We start from the raw sequence: 15,361 nt of genomic DNA, 5'->3' as shown, positions 1-15,361 counted from the left end.
AGGCAGGCATTTGGCACATCGAGAAGAACCATTTCATAAATTTGTCCCTTTTCAGGCTCATCGTTAGTTACATTGAATTTTCACGACTCCTCATCTCTTATATGCTGACCCTGTCACTGGTTTTACCTTTCTGTCTCTCTCTTCCCATTTATTTCTGAAGGTCTAGCTGAGATATTTCCTTGTCTGTGAAGATTTTACCCAGGCAGACATAGGGATCTCAGAACCTTTTATGTAATCCTAACACAACATTGGTTGGTTATTGCTTCATTGTGTCTGTGAAGTCTGTTTCCTTTGTAGACTGTGTATGATTTGATGTTACAGACTCTGCCATGGTCATACCTGTGCCTCTAACAACTAATATGTTGGGGCTTAAAAAATCTTTATTGAATTACAAGAATCAGACACATACATTGGCCATATTTCTATTGACGATGAAGTTAGCAATATAAATTCTCCTATTAAAATTGTTTTCCTCTCCTATTCTCCCATATCTTTTATCAATGCCTCTCTTGTATCACTTATTATTCTTCCACTAGATTGTGAACTTAAATTTTTTTTGAAATATTTTAAGCACCTAGAAAAGTACTGTATAGGGAATAGTAAAAAAAACCTCCTAGGTACTCTCATTTTGTCAAATCTTAGCATTTTTGCTTTGTTTCAGATGTTTTCAAAAAGTAAATGTAACATTTGTTTATACAGTGGAAGCCTCCTGGCACCCTTTCCCAATGCCATTCCCGTCCTCCCTTTTGAAGGCAATCACTCTCCTAAGTTTGGTGTTTTTCATTTATTTGCATATTTTTATACCACGTATGTATGAATTCATAAACAATTCATGGTATTGCTTTACATATTTTAAAACTTTATACAAATAATATAATGCTGCAGATATTCTGCAATTTGATTTTTGTTTTGGCTCAACATTATATTTTTAGATTTATCCATGTTGATAGTTGTAACTATAATTTTTTTTAAATTTCAAGTTCCGGGGTATATATGCAGGATGTGCAAGTTTGTTATATAGGTAAATATGTGCCATGGTGGTTTGCTTCACCTATCAATCGATCACCTAGGTATTAAGCCCAGCATGCACTAGCTATTTTACCTGATGTTCTTCCTCCCCCATCCCTCCACCACCAGGCCCCTGTGTGTGTTGTTCCCCTCCCTGTGTCCATGTGTTTACATTGACTTGTAACTATAATTTAATGAGTAAGTTACAGCATGTATGCATGCATGAATATTCAACTAGATGTAGTCTGACTCTGTAAGCAGAGAATATGTTATGTAATGCAGTCAGGATTATTATAATTTGCCTGTCATAATACATGACATTCCTTTTTTTGGCTACTGTGCAGAAGACCATGCCACAATACAGTACAGACATCCCTGAAGTGACAATTCACTAAGAATCAGGGCTGGAAAACATTTTTAATAAGCTAGAGAGATGGACCAAATCTATGAATTTGAAATTTTACACTGACAAACGTAAAACATGGCATTTGGGTACAAAAAAAGTTCAATGGTACAAATATAGGATGGGGGAGATGTGGCTTGGAAGCAGAACATGGGCCAGCCTCAGTGGCTCATGCCTGGAATCTCAGCACTTTGGGAGACTGAGGCAGGAGTCTTGTTTGAGGCCAGAAATTCGAGCCTGCAGTGAGCCATGATTGCCCCACTGCAATCTGGCCTGGGTGACAGAGTGACACTCTGTCTCTAAAATAAAATAAAATAAAAAAGAAGCAGAACATGAACAGAAAGTGGACAAGTTGGCAAGGATGGGAAAGGAAGCGCCCGTGGAGAGCCACTGGGATGGCGTCTCTAGAACCAAGATGTTGGGCTGTAGAGTGTGCTCCTCCAGGCTGCTTGGACTACATCTGGGAGAGAGCCTTCAGTTTCTGAGTGTGGAGCTTGTTCAGAGGAAAGTAATGAGAATGGTAGAAGAAAAAGGTAATGGTTCACTTCAAGAAGGGAGTTTGAGGCCAGCGGGATAGTGATAGTTGATTTCCGTGACTGGAAGGGAATTCTCTGTGGCCCCAAGACATATTGGACCAATCTTGCTCCTCTTCCTGAATTCCTTCCTCAGCAGCACATCTACTCTGTCCCACAAGCTGGAAGCCTGGGAGGGGTCCTCAACTCTCACTCATGTTCTTTTCTCCTACCTACCTGATGGTTTTTGAGTCCTGTGAGATCCACATTCTAAACATCATCTTACTTCACTCAGCAGCCTTTCTGCAGTTCCTCCTACCATGAAAACTCTCTTCTGTTGATTTTGTGTGTTGCACGTTTCCCTAAGTTTTCCCCTACATCTAAGAATGCCAGGGCATGAGCAGATTTTTGGACTTGAAGCGTTTTTATTTTGGGGGGCTATCTTTAAAGGAATACAAAATTATAAATAAAAGGCCTTGGATGGGACTCATACAAGGTAGAGAATTATTTCGCAGCAAATCCACCTCAGGCTTTCTTTCTTTTCTTTCTTTCTTTTTTTTTTTAATGCCCATCTTCTTTTCCAATGCCATGGGGTGGAATTCCTAAAGACACATAAAAGCCCTTTTCTCTTTAATGCTATATACTCCCCTGGCTTTGAAGACTTCCTTCCCATCTTACATGGCCACAACTGACTGATGACTCCTGAGTCTGTATCTCAAGCTCTGGCCTCTCTGTCTGGTGCTTAGACAGTCATCTCCACTTGGGTATTGCAAAGGCACTGCAAACTTCCTGTGGCTTAGGCTGAATCATTATCTTTTCCCTCACCTTCCGGTCCCTTTGTAGGACTCCCATCTCACCAAATGACATCAGCATCTACCCAGTTCCAAAAGCTGGGTACCTGGGCACCATCCTTAACACCTCATCCTCCCCCATGCTTATATCAAACTTATCTTCAGCCTGTCACATTTACCTTAAATACCCCTTCTCATCATCTTCATTGTCACCATCCCTAGCCAAGGTAATGCCACATCTTGGCTGGACCACCACAATAGTCTTCTTCCTTTTTTTTTTCCTTAAAGGTGTTGCTGTTAAAGTCTTAATCTTTTAGTGACATTTTGGGTTCACAGCAAAATTGAGAGGAAGGTACAGGGAGTTCCCATATACCCCTAGTCCTTATACATGCACATCCTCCCCATTATCAACATCCCCCACCGGAGTGCTACATTCGTTATAACTGATAAACCTACAATTGACTCATAATCTCCCAAGGTACATATTTACATTAGGATTCATCCTTGCTGTGGTACATTCTACGGTTTGAGTGATTTGTATCCACTTTATAGTATCATACTGGGTATTTTTACTGCCCTAAAAATCTTTTATGCTCTGCCTATTCATCCCTTCCCTCTGACCTCAACCCTGATCTTTTTACTTTCTCTATACTTGTGCTTTTTTCAGAATGTCATATAGCTGTAATCATCTAGTATACAGCCCTTCTAGATTGGTTTCTTTTTCTTAGTAATATGCATTTAAGTTCTCTCCATGTCTTTTTTTTTGGCTCGATAGCTTATTTTGATTTAGTGCTGAATAATGTTCCCTTGTGCAGATGCACCATAATTTGTTTATCCATTTACCTACTGAAAGACAATTTGGTTACTTCCAAGTTTTGGCAATTATGAATAAAGCTGCTATAGATATCTGCAGACTGGTTTTTGTGTGGACATACAAATTCAACTCCTTCAGGTAGATACTAAGGCAGATACTCAGGTAGATACTTATCTCCTAGGTAGATAGTATCTTAGGTAGATAGTATCTCTTAGGTAGTAAGTAAGTAGATAGTATCTCTTATCTCTTAGGTAGATAGTATCACCTTACCTTAGGTAGATACTAAGGCCAGGAGTACAATTGCTGCATCATGTGATAAGAGTGTTTTAGTTTTATAAAGAACTACCAAACCGTAGTGGCTGCACCATTTTGCATTCCCACCAGCAATGAATGAGTTCTTGTTTTTCCACATCCTCTCCAGCCTTTCGTGTGGTCAGTCCCAATAATCTCCTAATTGGTCTTCCTACCAATATTATCTGACAGCCTCCCCTACCAATTCTCTTCTCTACGTTGCTGTCAGACCATCTTCCCAAAAGGCATATCTGGTCACATCACCCCCTGCTTAGGACCCTCCAAAGCCTCCTATCATTCTTAAGACAAGGATCAAATCCTTAACTAGGCCTTTAAGGTCCTGCCTGATGTGGCTTGCCTGGCTCTCAACTGCCCTTTTACCATGCTGCCTCTGCTCTCCAGCCACACCACCTCCTCTCTGTCTCTTCTGCAGCCCAGCCTTTGCCTGGAAATCTCTTCCTCAGCTGCCTCACTCCTGAGTCCTCGGTCTAGGTCAGGTTCCTTTATTATTCACTTTTTTTTTTTTTTTTTAAAGACGGAGTCTTGCTGTGTCTCCCAGGCTGGAGTGCAATGGCGCGATCTCGGCTCACTGCAACCTCTGCCTCCTGGGTTTGAGCGATTCTCCTGCCTCAGCCTCCCCCCACCACACTCGGATAATTTTTTGTATTTTTTTTTTTTTAGTAGAGACGGGGTTTCACTGTGTTAGCCAGGATGGAGTCGATCTCCTGGCCTCGTGATCCACCTGCCTCAGCCTCCCAAAGTGCTGGGATTACAAGCATGAGCCACCGTGCCCGGCCTATTCGCTCTTAAAGAACCTTATTTCCCTCGTAAGTCTATTTATCCCTATTCAGTATGACACATTCACTAGTGTCATTGATTTGATGGATTAATGGCTGGCTCTTAACTTGACTCTGAGTTTCATACAGGCTTGAACCATACATACCTGTCTCTGCTTGCTTTTCCATGTATCTGGACCTTGCTTATAGCAAGTCCTCAATAAATATTTGTTAAAGAGTAAATGGACCCTTAGGAAATGGATTAATAAAAAAAAATCTATAGAACGATGCAAGCCTAGCCTCTAAGTCTTCTTGGGTCAGAGAATCATTTACTTTGAGTGAATGAGATTCAAGGACACTATAAATTGCGGAGGCATTTGCCCTATTAGGCCAGGAAACATATCTCTCTCCAAAGATTTTGACTTGCCAATTCCCAATACCCTATGTCGAAAGCCAGTTGGCTGCCCACACTTTTGAAAACACAGTGAGACATTAACCCTCAAAGGCAAAGTCCAAGGGCACAATTTTGCTGCAAGAGCTGCCTGCCTGACTGCAGCTTTAATAGCTGATTCTCCAAATATGCACTGACGTCAGTGAGAGTTCCCTGTGCTCAGCGTGTCTGACTCAGCCTCCACAGTGCAATTTGGAGGGAAGAGTTTGACCTGAAGACATTTCACCTGCTGTTTGTTTTAGGGTTTAAAGTGAAATGCAGCCTTTATGCCACCCCTCCAGCCTGCCCTGGTATGATTTAACTTTCATTTGCTAGTGCATTTGTATTTCCTTGTATTTTATTATTTAAGAACTATTAGATAAAAATCAGAATGCAGAGCTGAGGCTCGATCAGCTGAAAAATCAAGCTGAATCAAGTTCTCTTCAGTCTTTAGCCATAGTTAAAGACACAAGGAGAAATGTTTTGTTACTTTGGGATACAACAGAAGCTGGAGGATTTAGTGTTTTATGTTTTTTTGTGTATGTGTTTGTTATTAAAAATCCTTTCTAACTTTAAAAATAAAATATGGGGCTGGGTGTGATTGCTCATGCTTCTAATGCCAGCACTTTGACAGGCTGAGGTGGGAGGATCACTTGAGGCTAGGAGTTCGAGACCAACCTGGGCAATGTAGCAAGACCCTGTCGCTACTAAAAAATAATGTGTTAGTCTACAAGATGCCAGAAAATTCTCACCAAGTTAACTAATCAGGGCATCATATAATGCAAAAACATGTTAATGGAAAAGATTTTCCTGCCAAATGTTCATAAAAAGCAGTCACATGAAATCCAAAGTTTCACATGGGATTCTTTAAATATGATATAGCAAGATATTATGATGTTGTCAGAAATGTTTGCAAAAGCCTCAGAATTAATTTTTCCCTTCTTAGTGCTCTTAAAGTGCCTTAGACACACCTCACTATAGTGCTTATTTGGGCATGATAATAAATTGTTGACAGTCTCTGCTGAGACTGTGAGCCTTTGAGGACAGAGCACGTTTCTTAGCTATCTGTGATAGGTCTAGCTTTTGTTATGGTGTGTGGCACATGGTAGTTGCAAAGAGAAAGGGAGCTAGAATCAGAGCTCTGTGCTCCAATCCTGCCCTCGTATTTTCAAACTGTGGAATTATGGCAAATGCTTAAACTCTGCAAGTTCCATTATTCTGTAAAAGGGAATCTCACTTCCTCACAGGGCTGCTGAGGGAGTGAAATGAGATATGTGTCCTGTATGTAGTAGGTACTAATAAATGTGATTGTCAAGGAATTAAGAACTAGATCCTGAGATTGCATCCAGGTTCTACATTTGCTGGCTGTGTGACCTTGGGCAAGTCACCTAACCTCTCTGAGCCTTGGCTTCTTATCTATATAATAGGAATAATAACATCTATATCACAGAGTTGTGGTGAGAAACAGATTTTAGACTTTTGTATTTAATGCATCCAAACCAAAGTCTAGTACTAACCTTTTATTTTTTCAAGTAAGAATGTTCCAGAAAAGAAACTATCATCTACTGTCACCATAAAAGGAAGAGTATCTAACACCAAAAAGTGAGAAAGATAAATTTCCTTAAACAGAAATATCTTTAAAAAGAAAAATACTTTCTAACATCCTTATTTTAGGCTGGTGAAAACTTTAGTCTTACACCAGCACCATCTGTGTCCAGACTCTTGAATCCATTAATAATGAAGATGAAATGAGATAATATGTATAAATAGCTGAGTGTAGAGCCTGGCACACAGAAAACACTAAATAAATATTAACTGCTACTATTTAATATTATTTTTGTCATGATTGCGTTGTTTAATTTTATGTGTCAACTTGTCTGGGCTAAGGGATGCCCAGATAGCTGGTAAAACATTATTTCTGAGTGTGTCTGATATGGTGTTTCTGGAAGAGAATAGTATTTTAATTAGTAGACTGAGTAAAGAAGATCGACCTTACCAATGCAGGAGGGCATTCTCCAATCTGTTGAGGGCCTGAAGAGAACATAAAAGTGGAGGAAGGACAGATTTGTTTTTTCTGCTTAGGTTGGGACATCCATCTTCTCCTACCCTGGACATTGGCACTTCTGGTTCTTTGGCCTTTGGGCTGGAATTGACACCATTACCCCCTTATCTCAGTCCAAAGGCTGAAGTTCCAATGTACACTAAATTACACCACTGGCTTTCTTGGTTCTCCAGCTTATAGATGTCGGGTTGTGGGACTTCTCAGCCTCCATAATCACATAAGCCAATTCCTATAAATTTCCTATATGTGTCCTATATATAGGATAGCTCTCTATATATCCTGGAGAATCCTAAATAGTACAATCATCGTAAGTTAAAATACTTAAATTTTCTATTAGAAAGTTTGATAAATGAATGAATGAAATGCCTGTTATATTTGTACTCAGTAGAGCTAAAGAATGAAAAGAGGTAACGATATATATAACTGATCAGAAGTTTTGGGAATAACAATGTTACTGGCAAATACTCAAAACCAAATACAAGTGTTCACTGAGAGCTTCCTGTATTTCAGGTGCTCCTCTTAGTATTTTACATGAATAATTTTATTTGTGCTTCATGAAAACTCCATTTATCCCATTTTTACAGATGAGGCAACTGAGGCACAGAGAGGTTATATAACTTACTCTAGGTTACCTATTAGTAAGTGTTGTGGCTGTGATTCCAACCCAGGCAATCAGACTTTATCACTTGGACTTCAATACCATGATATTCTGTCTCCTTATAGTAAAGATAAAATATACAATAAATTCTAATTTAAATGAATATGTTATGTAAATAGAAAGAAGAAACAATGGACAATTGACAGGAAGGGCAACGGGTTGCATCATTGAACTAGATTTGGGGCAACCTTAGAAAGGAGTCCCATAATCATATTCATTTTTATGTAAAAATGTCATGCTCTAGAAATGTGTCAGCATTTGAGTGCAGTTGAAGAATTTGATGTGTCAAGGGTTGAGCACCTTGGCACATCACCTTTACTTTCTGCTGGGCTTCTCTTGTTTGGTTTTCTGAAGTGCAACATACTTTTGTTAGTTTGGAAAGGGTGGGTGAGGGATGGGACTGAGGGGAAGAATGATGGTTTGGCTCTGAGCCTTGTTTTCAGCATTTTGAATTCATGGTATTGCAAAGACAGCAAGGGAAAACTACTGGGTGGGCACCATATTCCAGCTGGAGTAGGGGTGACAGGCCAGACAGGCAGCGTTAGCTTGCTTGACACTACTTGGGTGGAGCCTAGGCTAATGAATCACTCACTCCGTAAAGCAGCCACTGCTTCCTTGCTGTGCACCAGCTCCATGGTGCAGGCCAAAATCCAGCTCTGGCAATGAGCCTGTGCAGAATATAGTAAAACAAGAGGTCACATTTTCCCAGAGCTTCGCTGCCAAAACGTGGCAAGTGCCCAGCTGAAATTGGCAGTAGTGGACACCCAAACCTCCCTCCAGCCAAAAGCAGAGAAGCTGGCTTCTTGGAGATGGTTCAGCCACAGCCATGCCCTGGGTCATTCCCAAGCCAACACTTCACAGCAGGGCCCCAGGAGGACCCGCCAAGGTCCTGGTGTCACAGCAGGGGCTGCCAATGTGAGTTGCTCTTTTGACGACCGGAGACCTCCCAGCTGGGTTGAGGCTAAGCCTCCGAGATTCACAGGATGCCAAATCACACAGGCCTTCCGTCTTCTCATTATTAATCTTGTTTCTTATTAACCCAAACAAATATTCTGGCCTTGGCTCCAGTGTTATTCAGGACAAAAATGATATCCTTTTTGGGATTCAAATTGATAGCATTTTCTTTGTTTCAGGTGCTGTCCCTAAGCTCTTTTTCTGAATTATCTGTCTCTCACAAGCACCCTTTGCAGGAAAAGACATGAAAGTGAAGAGAGATGAAGTAACTCACCGAAGAGCACACAGTGAGCACACACATTGAGAGTCCAGGTTAACTCCAAAGTCTAAGAGCTTTCACCACATATTGGTATCTCTGTCTTGTGACGGTTGTGAAAAGAATTATTATTTAAGTATTCATGTCTCTATTTTCTTCCCAAATGGTTTCTATTAGGTTGGTGCAGAAGTAATGGTTTTGCCATTACTTTCAGTGGCAAAACCCACAATTACTTCAATAGTTTCTTGAGGGAAAGGACCTGGCTCTAAAATAAATTAATGCCAACCTGGCTCTAAAATAAATAAATCAATAAATAGAGTCACCCAGGCGGGAATGCAGTGGTGTGGGACCATTTCCACTGCAGTGTTTCCATAGTATTCATTCATGCATTTGGGAAATATTTATTGAGCACTTATTATGTGCCAGGGATTATGCCAAGCATTTGCCAATAAAAAGGCAAAAAGTCACTGGGCCCGCTCTTTGGGAGCTAATAATCCTATGCAGGGTAATACCCAGGGAAGTCAATGAGTTATTACAAAATAACAAGGTTGACCCCACATAGGGTATGCAATTCTAGCAGTTCTTACCAGCTATTTATAGACTATTCACATATTTTATGTATTTATCTTGTATTTTATTCTAAATGCAATTAACAAGAGTATTCTCATAAAAATAGTTAAATTAATCCAATGGTGGTGTGGCATAATAAGAAATATGTATTTGGTCTTTGCCCAGGGTTTCTGACACACAGCTCCCATATCCCTTGGAACCTCTGGAGTGATAGGAACATCTCTTGTTCTAATGAGATAACTCTTGGTAGGCTCTTGGATGGGGGTAGTCACCAGAAAGACCAAACCTTGATAAGCAGCCTGAAATTTTCAGCCCCAAACCCTAACCTCTGGGAAGGGGGAGAGAGGTTCCCTATATGATGAAACCTCCATAAAAACTCCTAAACTTTGGGATTTGGAGAGCTTCCACGTTGGTGAGCATGTTGAGGTGCTGGGAGGGTCGTGCTTCTAGAGAGAGTATGGAAACTCTACCTGCTACCCTTCCTTTTTTGCTCCTCTGCATCTCCCATTTGGCTGCTTCTGAGTTGTATCCTTTATAATAAACTGATAAATGTAAGTAAGATGCCTTCCTGAGTTCTGTGAGCCATCCTAGCAAATTATCAAACCTTAGGAGGGGTCATGGGAACTCCTGATTTATAGCCAGTCAGTCAGAAGTACAGGTGCCGTGGGACCTGTGACTGGTGTCTGCAGTGCGAGTAGTACTGTGAGACTGAGCCTTTACCTTGTGGGATCTGACACTAACTCTGAGTAGTGTTGGAATTTAGTTGAATCATAGGACGCTCAGTTGCTTCTCAGAAAATTAGTGAATTGGTCGCTGGAAGTGGAAAACACCACAGTGGGCTTCTTGAGAGACCAACATAAATATGTTCATAACTAAACATGGGCATCAGAAAATACAAACATCTTCTGTCAAAATTGTGAAAATTGTGTAGCAGACTTAAAACATATAGATTTCATCTTTATGAACAAAATAAAAGATGGATGTTTAAACATTTTGTGTTATTAAGTTCCTGTCCAGATTATTACAAAGACCTCCCAACTATCTCCCCTTTTCTTCTGTACCCTGCTTTAATCCCCCTGCACAGAGCAGCCAGGTGATCTTTTAAAACAATAAATCAGACCATGTCCCTTACCAGCTAAAAGCCCATTAATAACTCAGAATTGTTGTTAGATTAAAACCCAAATTTCTTATCATGGGCTGCAGTGATCTACATGATCTATCTCCTATCTGTCCAAACTGATATGATGATGACGATGATGATGATGATGATGAAAAATAGACTGCATTTATTGAGCATCCACTAAGCACTTTATATGCTTACTCTCATTTAATCTTTTTTTAAAAAAATACCAACCAGAATTAGCTAGAATTTCATTTAATCTTCATGACAACCTTATCTCTCCTCCTCTCTAATTTATGTGGCAGCCGTACTTTGCTCCTTTCTGTTCCAAATGCTCGCAGAGCTCTTTCCTACCCCCAGGGCCTTTGTACTCGCTGTCCCCTTGGCCTTGGAAATGCTAGCTCCAGCTCTTCTCACAGTTGGCTTGTGTGCACCCACCAGGTGTCAGCTCAAATATCACCTCTTTGGAGAGGCTGCCCTTGACTACCCAATCTAAGCAACTTTCTCCAGTTATGATGTCCTTTTCTGCTGATGGGTTCTTGCTGATAATTTACTGGAGCCTTTCACGGTCATGTTTATGTCTTTTATTGTGCTTGTCTATTTCCCCATCTGGAATGTTTTGTAAGCTTTGTGATGGCATCTTCCTCACCACTGTCTTGTTTACTACACCAGTGCATGGTATGTGCAAGGAACAGAGGCTCAATATGTATATGACAAATGAGTTGATAAATGTATCTTATGAATATTAAGTAATAAATGCTAAAAAAAAAAACAGCCCATACATTTCTTCTAAGTAATGACCATCTACTCAGGTCAATATTTAATAATTTAGCAGGCCCGGATTTCTTTTTCTATTTCTTTTTTTTTTTTTTTTGACGGAGTTTTGCTCTTGTTGCCCAGCCTGGAGCGCAATGGCGCGATCTCGGCCCACTGCAACTTACGCCTCCTGGGTTCAAGCGATTCTTCTGCCTCAGCCTCCAGAGTAGCTGGGATTACGGGCATGTGCCACCACGCCCGACTAATTTTGTATTTTTAGTAGAGATGGGGTTTCTCTATGTTGGTCAGGCTGGTCTTGAACTCGCGACCTCAGGTGATCCACCCGCCTTAGCCTCCCAAAATTCTGGGGTTATAGGCGTGAGCCACCACATCCGGCAAGCCTGGATTTTATATGGTCACTAGATGTGTGTGTATTTGTTGGCTAAGTGATCATAAGAAAAGCAGGTCCAGATGAACCTTAGGGAAACCTACCTAGGTGTTTTAGATATGGCTGGATGATAAGGTGAGTACTAGCACACTGTTAGAACAGAGAGCTGTGGAGGAAGGAGTGATGAGCTGTCTGGGGCTGTCAGAAAGGCTGATGATAATTCAGGCAGCAGGTGAATCCTCTTTGGGTGGGTGGTGGCTTGGTGTGGGTGGAGCTTGGGATAGATAGGATAAGGATGGAGGGATGAGGAGTGGCAGAAGATGAGACTGAAGGTTAGACTGCAAACAATGGAGAAAGGTGGTGAGTGCTGTGCTAAGGAGGACAGATTTTGTGCTGGAAGCAATGGCCTTGGAAATGGGGAGGGGCTTAAAAAATCATGATTAGGTTAATGTCATATAGAAGAGGGGACTTGGATGGAGAAAGCAAATACTGCAGGCAAGACACGAGGCACTCCCTCCACTAAGGTAGTGTGGTCAGAATGAAGAGGATGCTGTGCACTGAGCTAATGCTCAGCATGTTTGTTCAATAATATCAAGTATTTAAAATATGCATATTTAAATATACAACACATTATACAAACTGGTTAAAGGAAAATTGATGTAGGTGGTAGGATAGAGATAATCCCTTCTTAAACCACAGCGTGGTTAATGCATAGACAAGCATCGCATGTCCCTAAACGAAGGATTGTAGATGCAATTTTTAGGTATGTCATAGGATTGAGAACTAAAAGGAGCTTCAGAGGAGACCTGTGCCTTTATTCTTTATTTTCACCTGCTTGGTCTTGCTGTTTCCATTAGGGGCTCCTTCAATGTCCCCAACTCTGCCACATCTCCGGTTGTTTCCTCTTGCTGGTCCCTCAGTTCTTCATTTTTCTCTTCCATCCCTGCTGTGTGAAATCATTTTTCTTGGCCGAGATACAGAGTCATGTCCAGTGCCTTCCTTAACTTTGTTCAGGTAAAATTAATTGCTGTGCTGTATGCACCTGTGTTACTCACATTAAGGTCTATTATGTAAAACACATAAGGCATACTCACATGATAATTAATGGTGTGGACTTTATAAAGCTAGGCTGCCAAGGTTTGTTTTGGGCTAAGTCACTGACCTGCTTTGTGCTTTAGTTTCCTCATCTGTAAAATGAAGATAATAGTGGTATTTTTACTAATAGTGTCTTAGTCTGATCTAGCTGATACAACAAAATATTATAGACTGGTGGCTTATAAACAACAGAAATTTATTTCTCACAGTTCTGAAGGCTGGGAAATCCAAGATCAAAGTGCCAGCAGATTTGATGTTTGGTGAGGAGTTGCTTCCTCATAGATAGTCATCTCACTTTTGCCTTCTCAAAAGCAGGAGGGGTAAGGGCCTCTCCCAGACCTCTTTCATAAGGGCACTAATTTCATTCATGAGCCATCATGACCTGATCATCTTCCCAAAGCCCCATCTCCTAAAGCCATAAGCTTGCCCGGTAGGATTTCCACATATGACTCTGCGGGTGGGAGACACAAACAGTCGAATCATAGGAAATACTGTTTATTTCAGAGGGTTGTTGGAAGGATTTAATGAGCTAATACATGGAAAATGGAAGAACAATCCCTGGTACACAATAATCATTAAGTTTTTTTGCTGCTTTCTTGCTAGACTATGGGTTTCTGAGAATGGGGATGCAGGTCTTATTGATCCTGTAACTCTACAGCCTGGCCTAGCCCACTGTGGTCCTCAGGGATTGCTGCTGAATGAATGGATTGCACAGATAAGGAAACTGAGGAATATGTTCAGGGCCCCACTGGAGCATGCACCAAGGGCCTCGTGACCCCCAGGCCTGTGTTCCTGGGTCAGCTATTGAATTTTTCACCGCTGATTGTGGAGTAAGAAATTCTGCTTATGTGCCTTTAGCAAGGAAGACTGGGTGCATTTAAACTCACTTTTTATGTTGCCTTTTATGACACCTAGGAGAGGGACATTTATGGTTACAGAACATTAAAAGAAAAATGAATGCAAGTGTAAACTTCTGAAATTACTGTGATTTAGGGAATGATAGGTGTTATTTTTTCACAGGTTTTATATAATGTAAGTGCATGCTATGGAATCATCTGAACAAAAGTTGTAAATAAACCTGAAGGGTACTCATTTTTAAGATAAGATATGATAGAAGTATATGCTTATCTTTCAAATATCTGTAAAATGTGTAATATTTCTAACAGTTTAAACATGAGATATTTCCACACAATATTTATTGCCTAAGACTTTGTGAAACAGAGGCATAGCCATGTTTTAGGGTCCTGATTTAGAACCCCTAATTCCCCAAGCATGCACACTAGGAAGAGGCAAGAAGGCAAGGGAGGGTCCAGTTTCTTGCCTCAGAATTAAGACTTCTTTGTCCTCTACCTGCAGGTATCTACCCTGCCCTGGCTGTGGGTCCAGTTCTGATTTGGGAGGAATTTAAGGGGCCCTGATCTATTGCAAGTTATTGCTGCTGCTGGGCCCACTCTGATCTGAGTTCCAACTCCAGTTAAGGGAATCAATTTTTGATTGCTTGCCAATTGTCCTCTCTATGTCAGGCTTTTACATACTTCATTTCATTTAACCCTCCTAATAATTTAACATGTGATGAAACAGATGCCCAGAGAGGGTAAGTGATTTGACCAAGCCACCCTGCAATGTAAATGGGGAACCAGGATTTTAAAACCTTGGCGCATGATGAAAACAACCCAAATGCTGATCAGCTGATGAATGGATAAACAAAATGTGATATATCCATACAATGGAATATTATGCAGCCATTAAAGAAATAAAGTAATGATACATGCTATGTATTAGTGAGGATTCTCAAAAAAAAAGAACCAATAGGATATATGTATGAGTGTATGTATATATGTATACACACACACACACACACACACACACACACACACACACACACACAGAGAGATTTATCATAAAGAACTGGAGGCTGGGCGTGGTGGCTCATCCCTGTAATCCCAGCACTTTGGGAGGCCGAGGTGGGTGGATCACTTGAGGTCAGGAGTTTGACACCAGCCTGGCCAATATGGTGAAACCTCGTCTCTACAAAAAAAAATACAAAAATTAGCCAGGCATGGTGGCGGGCACCTGTAATCCCAGCTACTCAGAAGGCTGAGGCAGGAGAATCGCTTGAACCCGGAAGGCAGAGGTTGCAGTGAGCCAAGATTGTGCCACTGCACTCCAGCCTGGGCAACAGAGCCAGATCCTGTCTCAAGAAAAAAAAAAAAAAAAAGAATTGACTCATGCAATTATGGAGGCTGAGAAGTCCCAAGATCTTTGGTTGACAAGCTGGAGAACCAGGAAAGTCTATGGTATAGTTTCAGTCCTAATCCAAAGGCCTGAGAACCAGGAGAGTCAATGGTGTAAGGTCTATTCTGAGTCCAAGTCCAAAGGCAGAAGACCAATGTCTCACTGGAAGACATTCATATAGAGAGAGAACAAATCCTTTCTTACACAGCCTTTTTGTTCTATTCAAGCCTTTAATTGATTGC

Source organism: Homo sapiens, chromosome 11 (assembly GCF_000001405.40).
Source record: "Homo sapiens chromosome 11, GRCh38.p14 Primary Assembly".
NCBI lineage: Eukaryota > Metazoa > Chordata > Mammalia > Primates > Hominidae > Homo > Homo sapiens.
The sequence above is the reverse complement of the archived record's forward strand: the minus strand, read 5'-3'. Positions refer to the sequence as shown.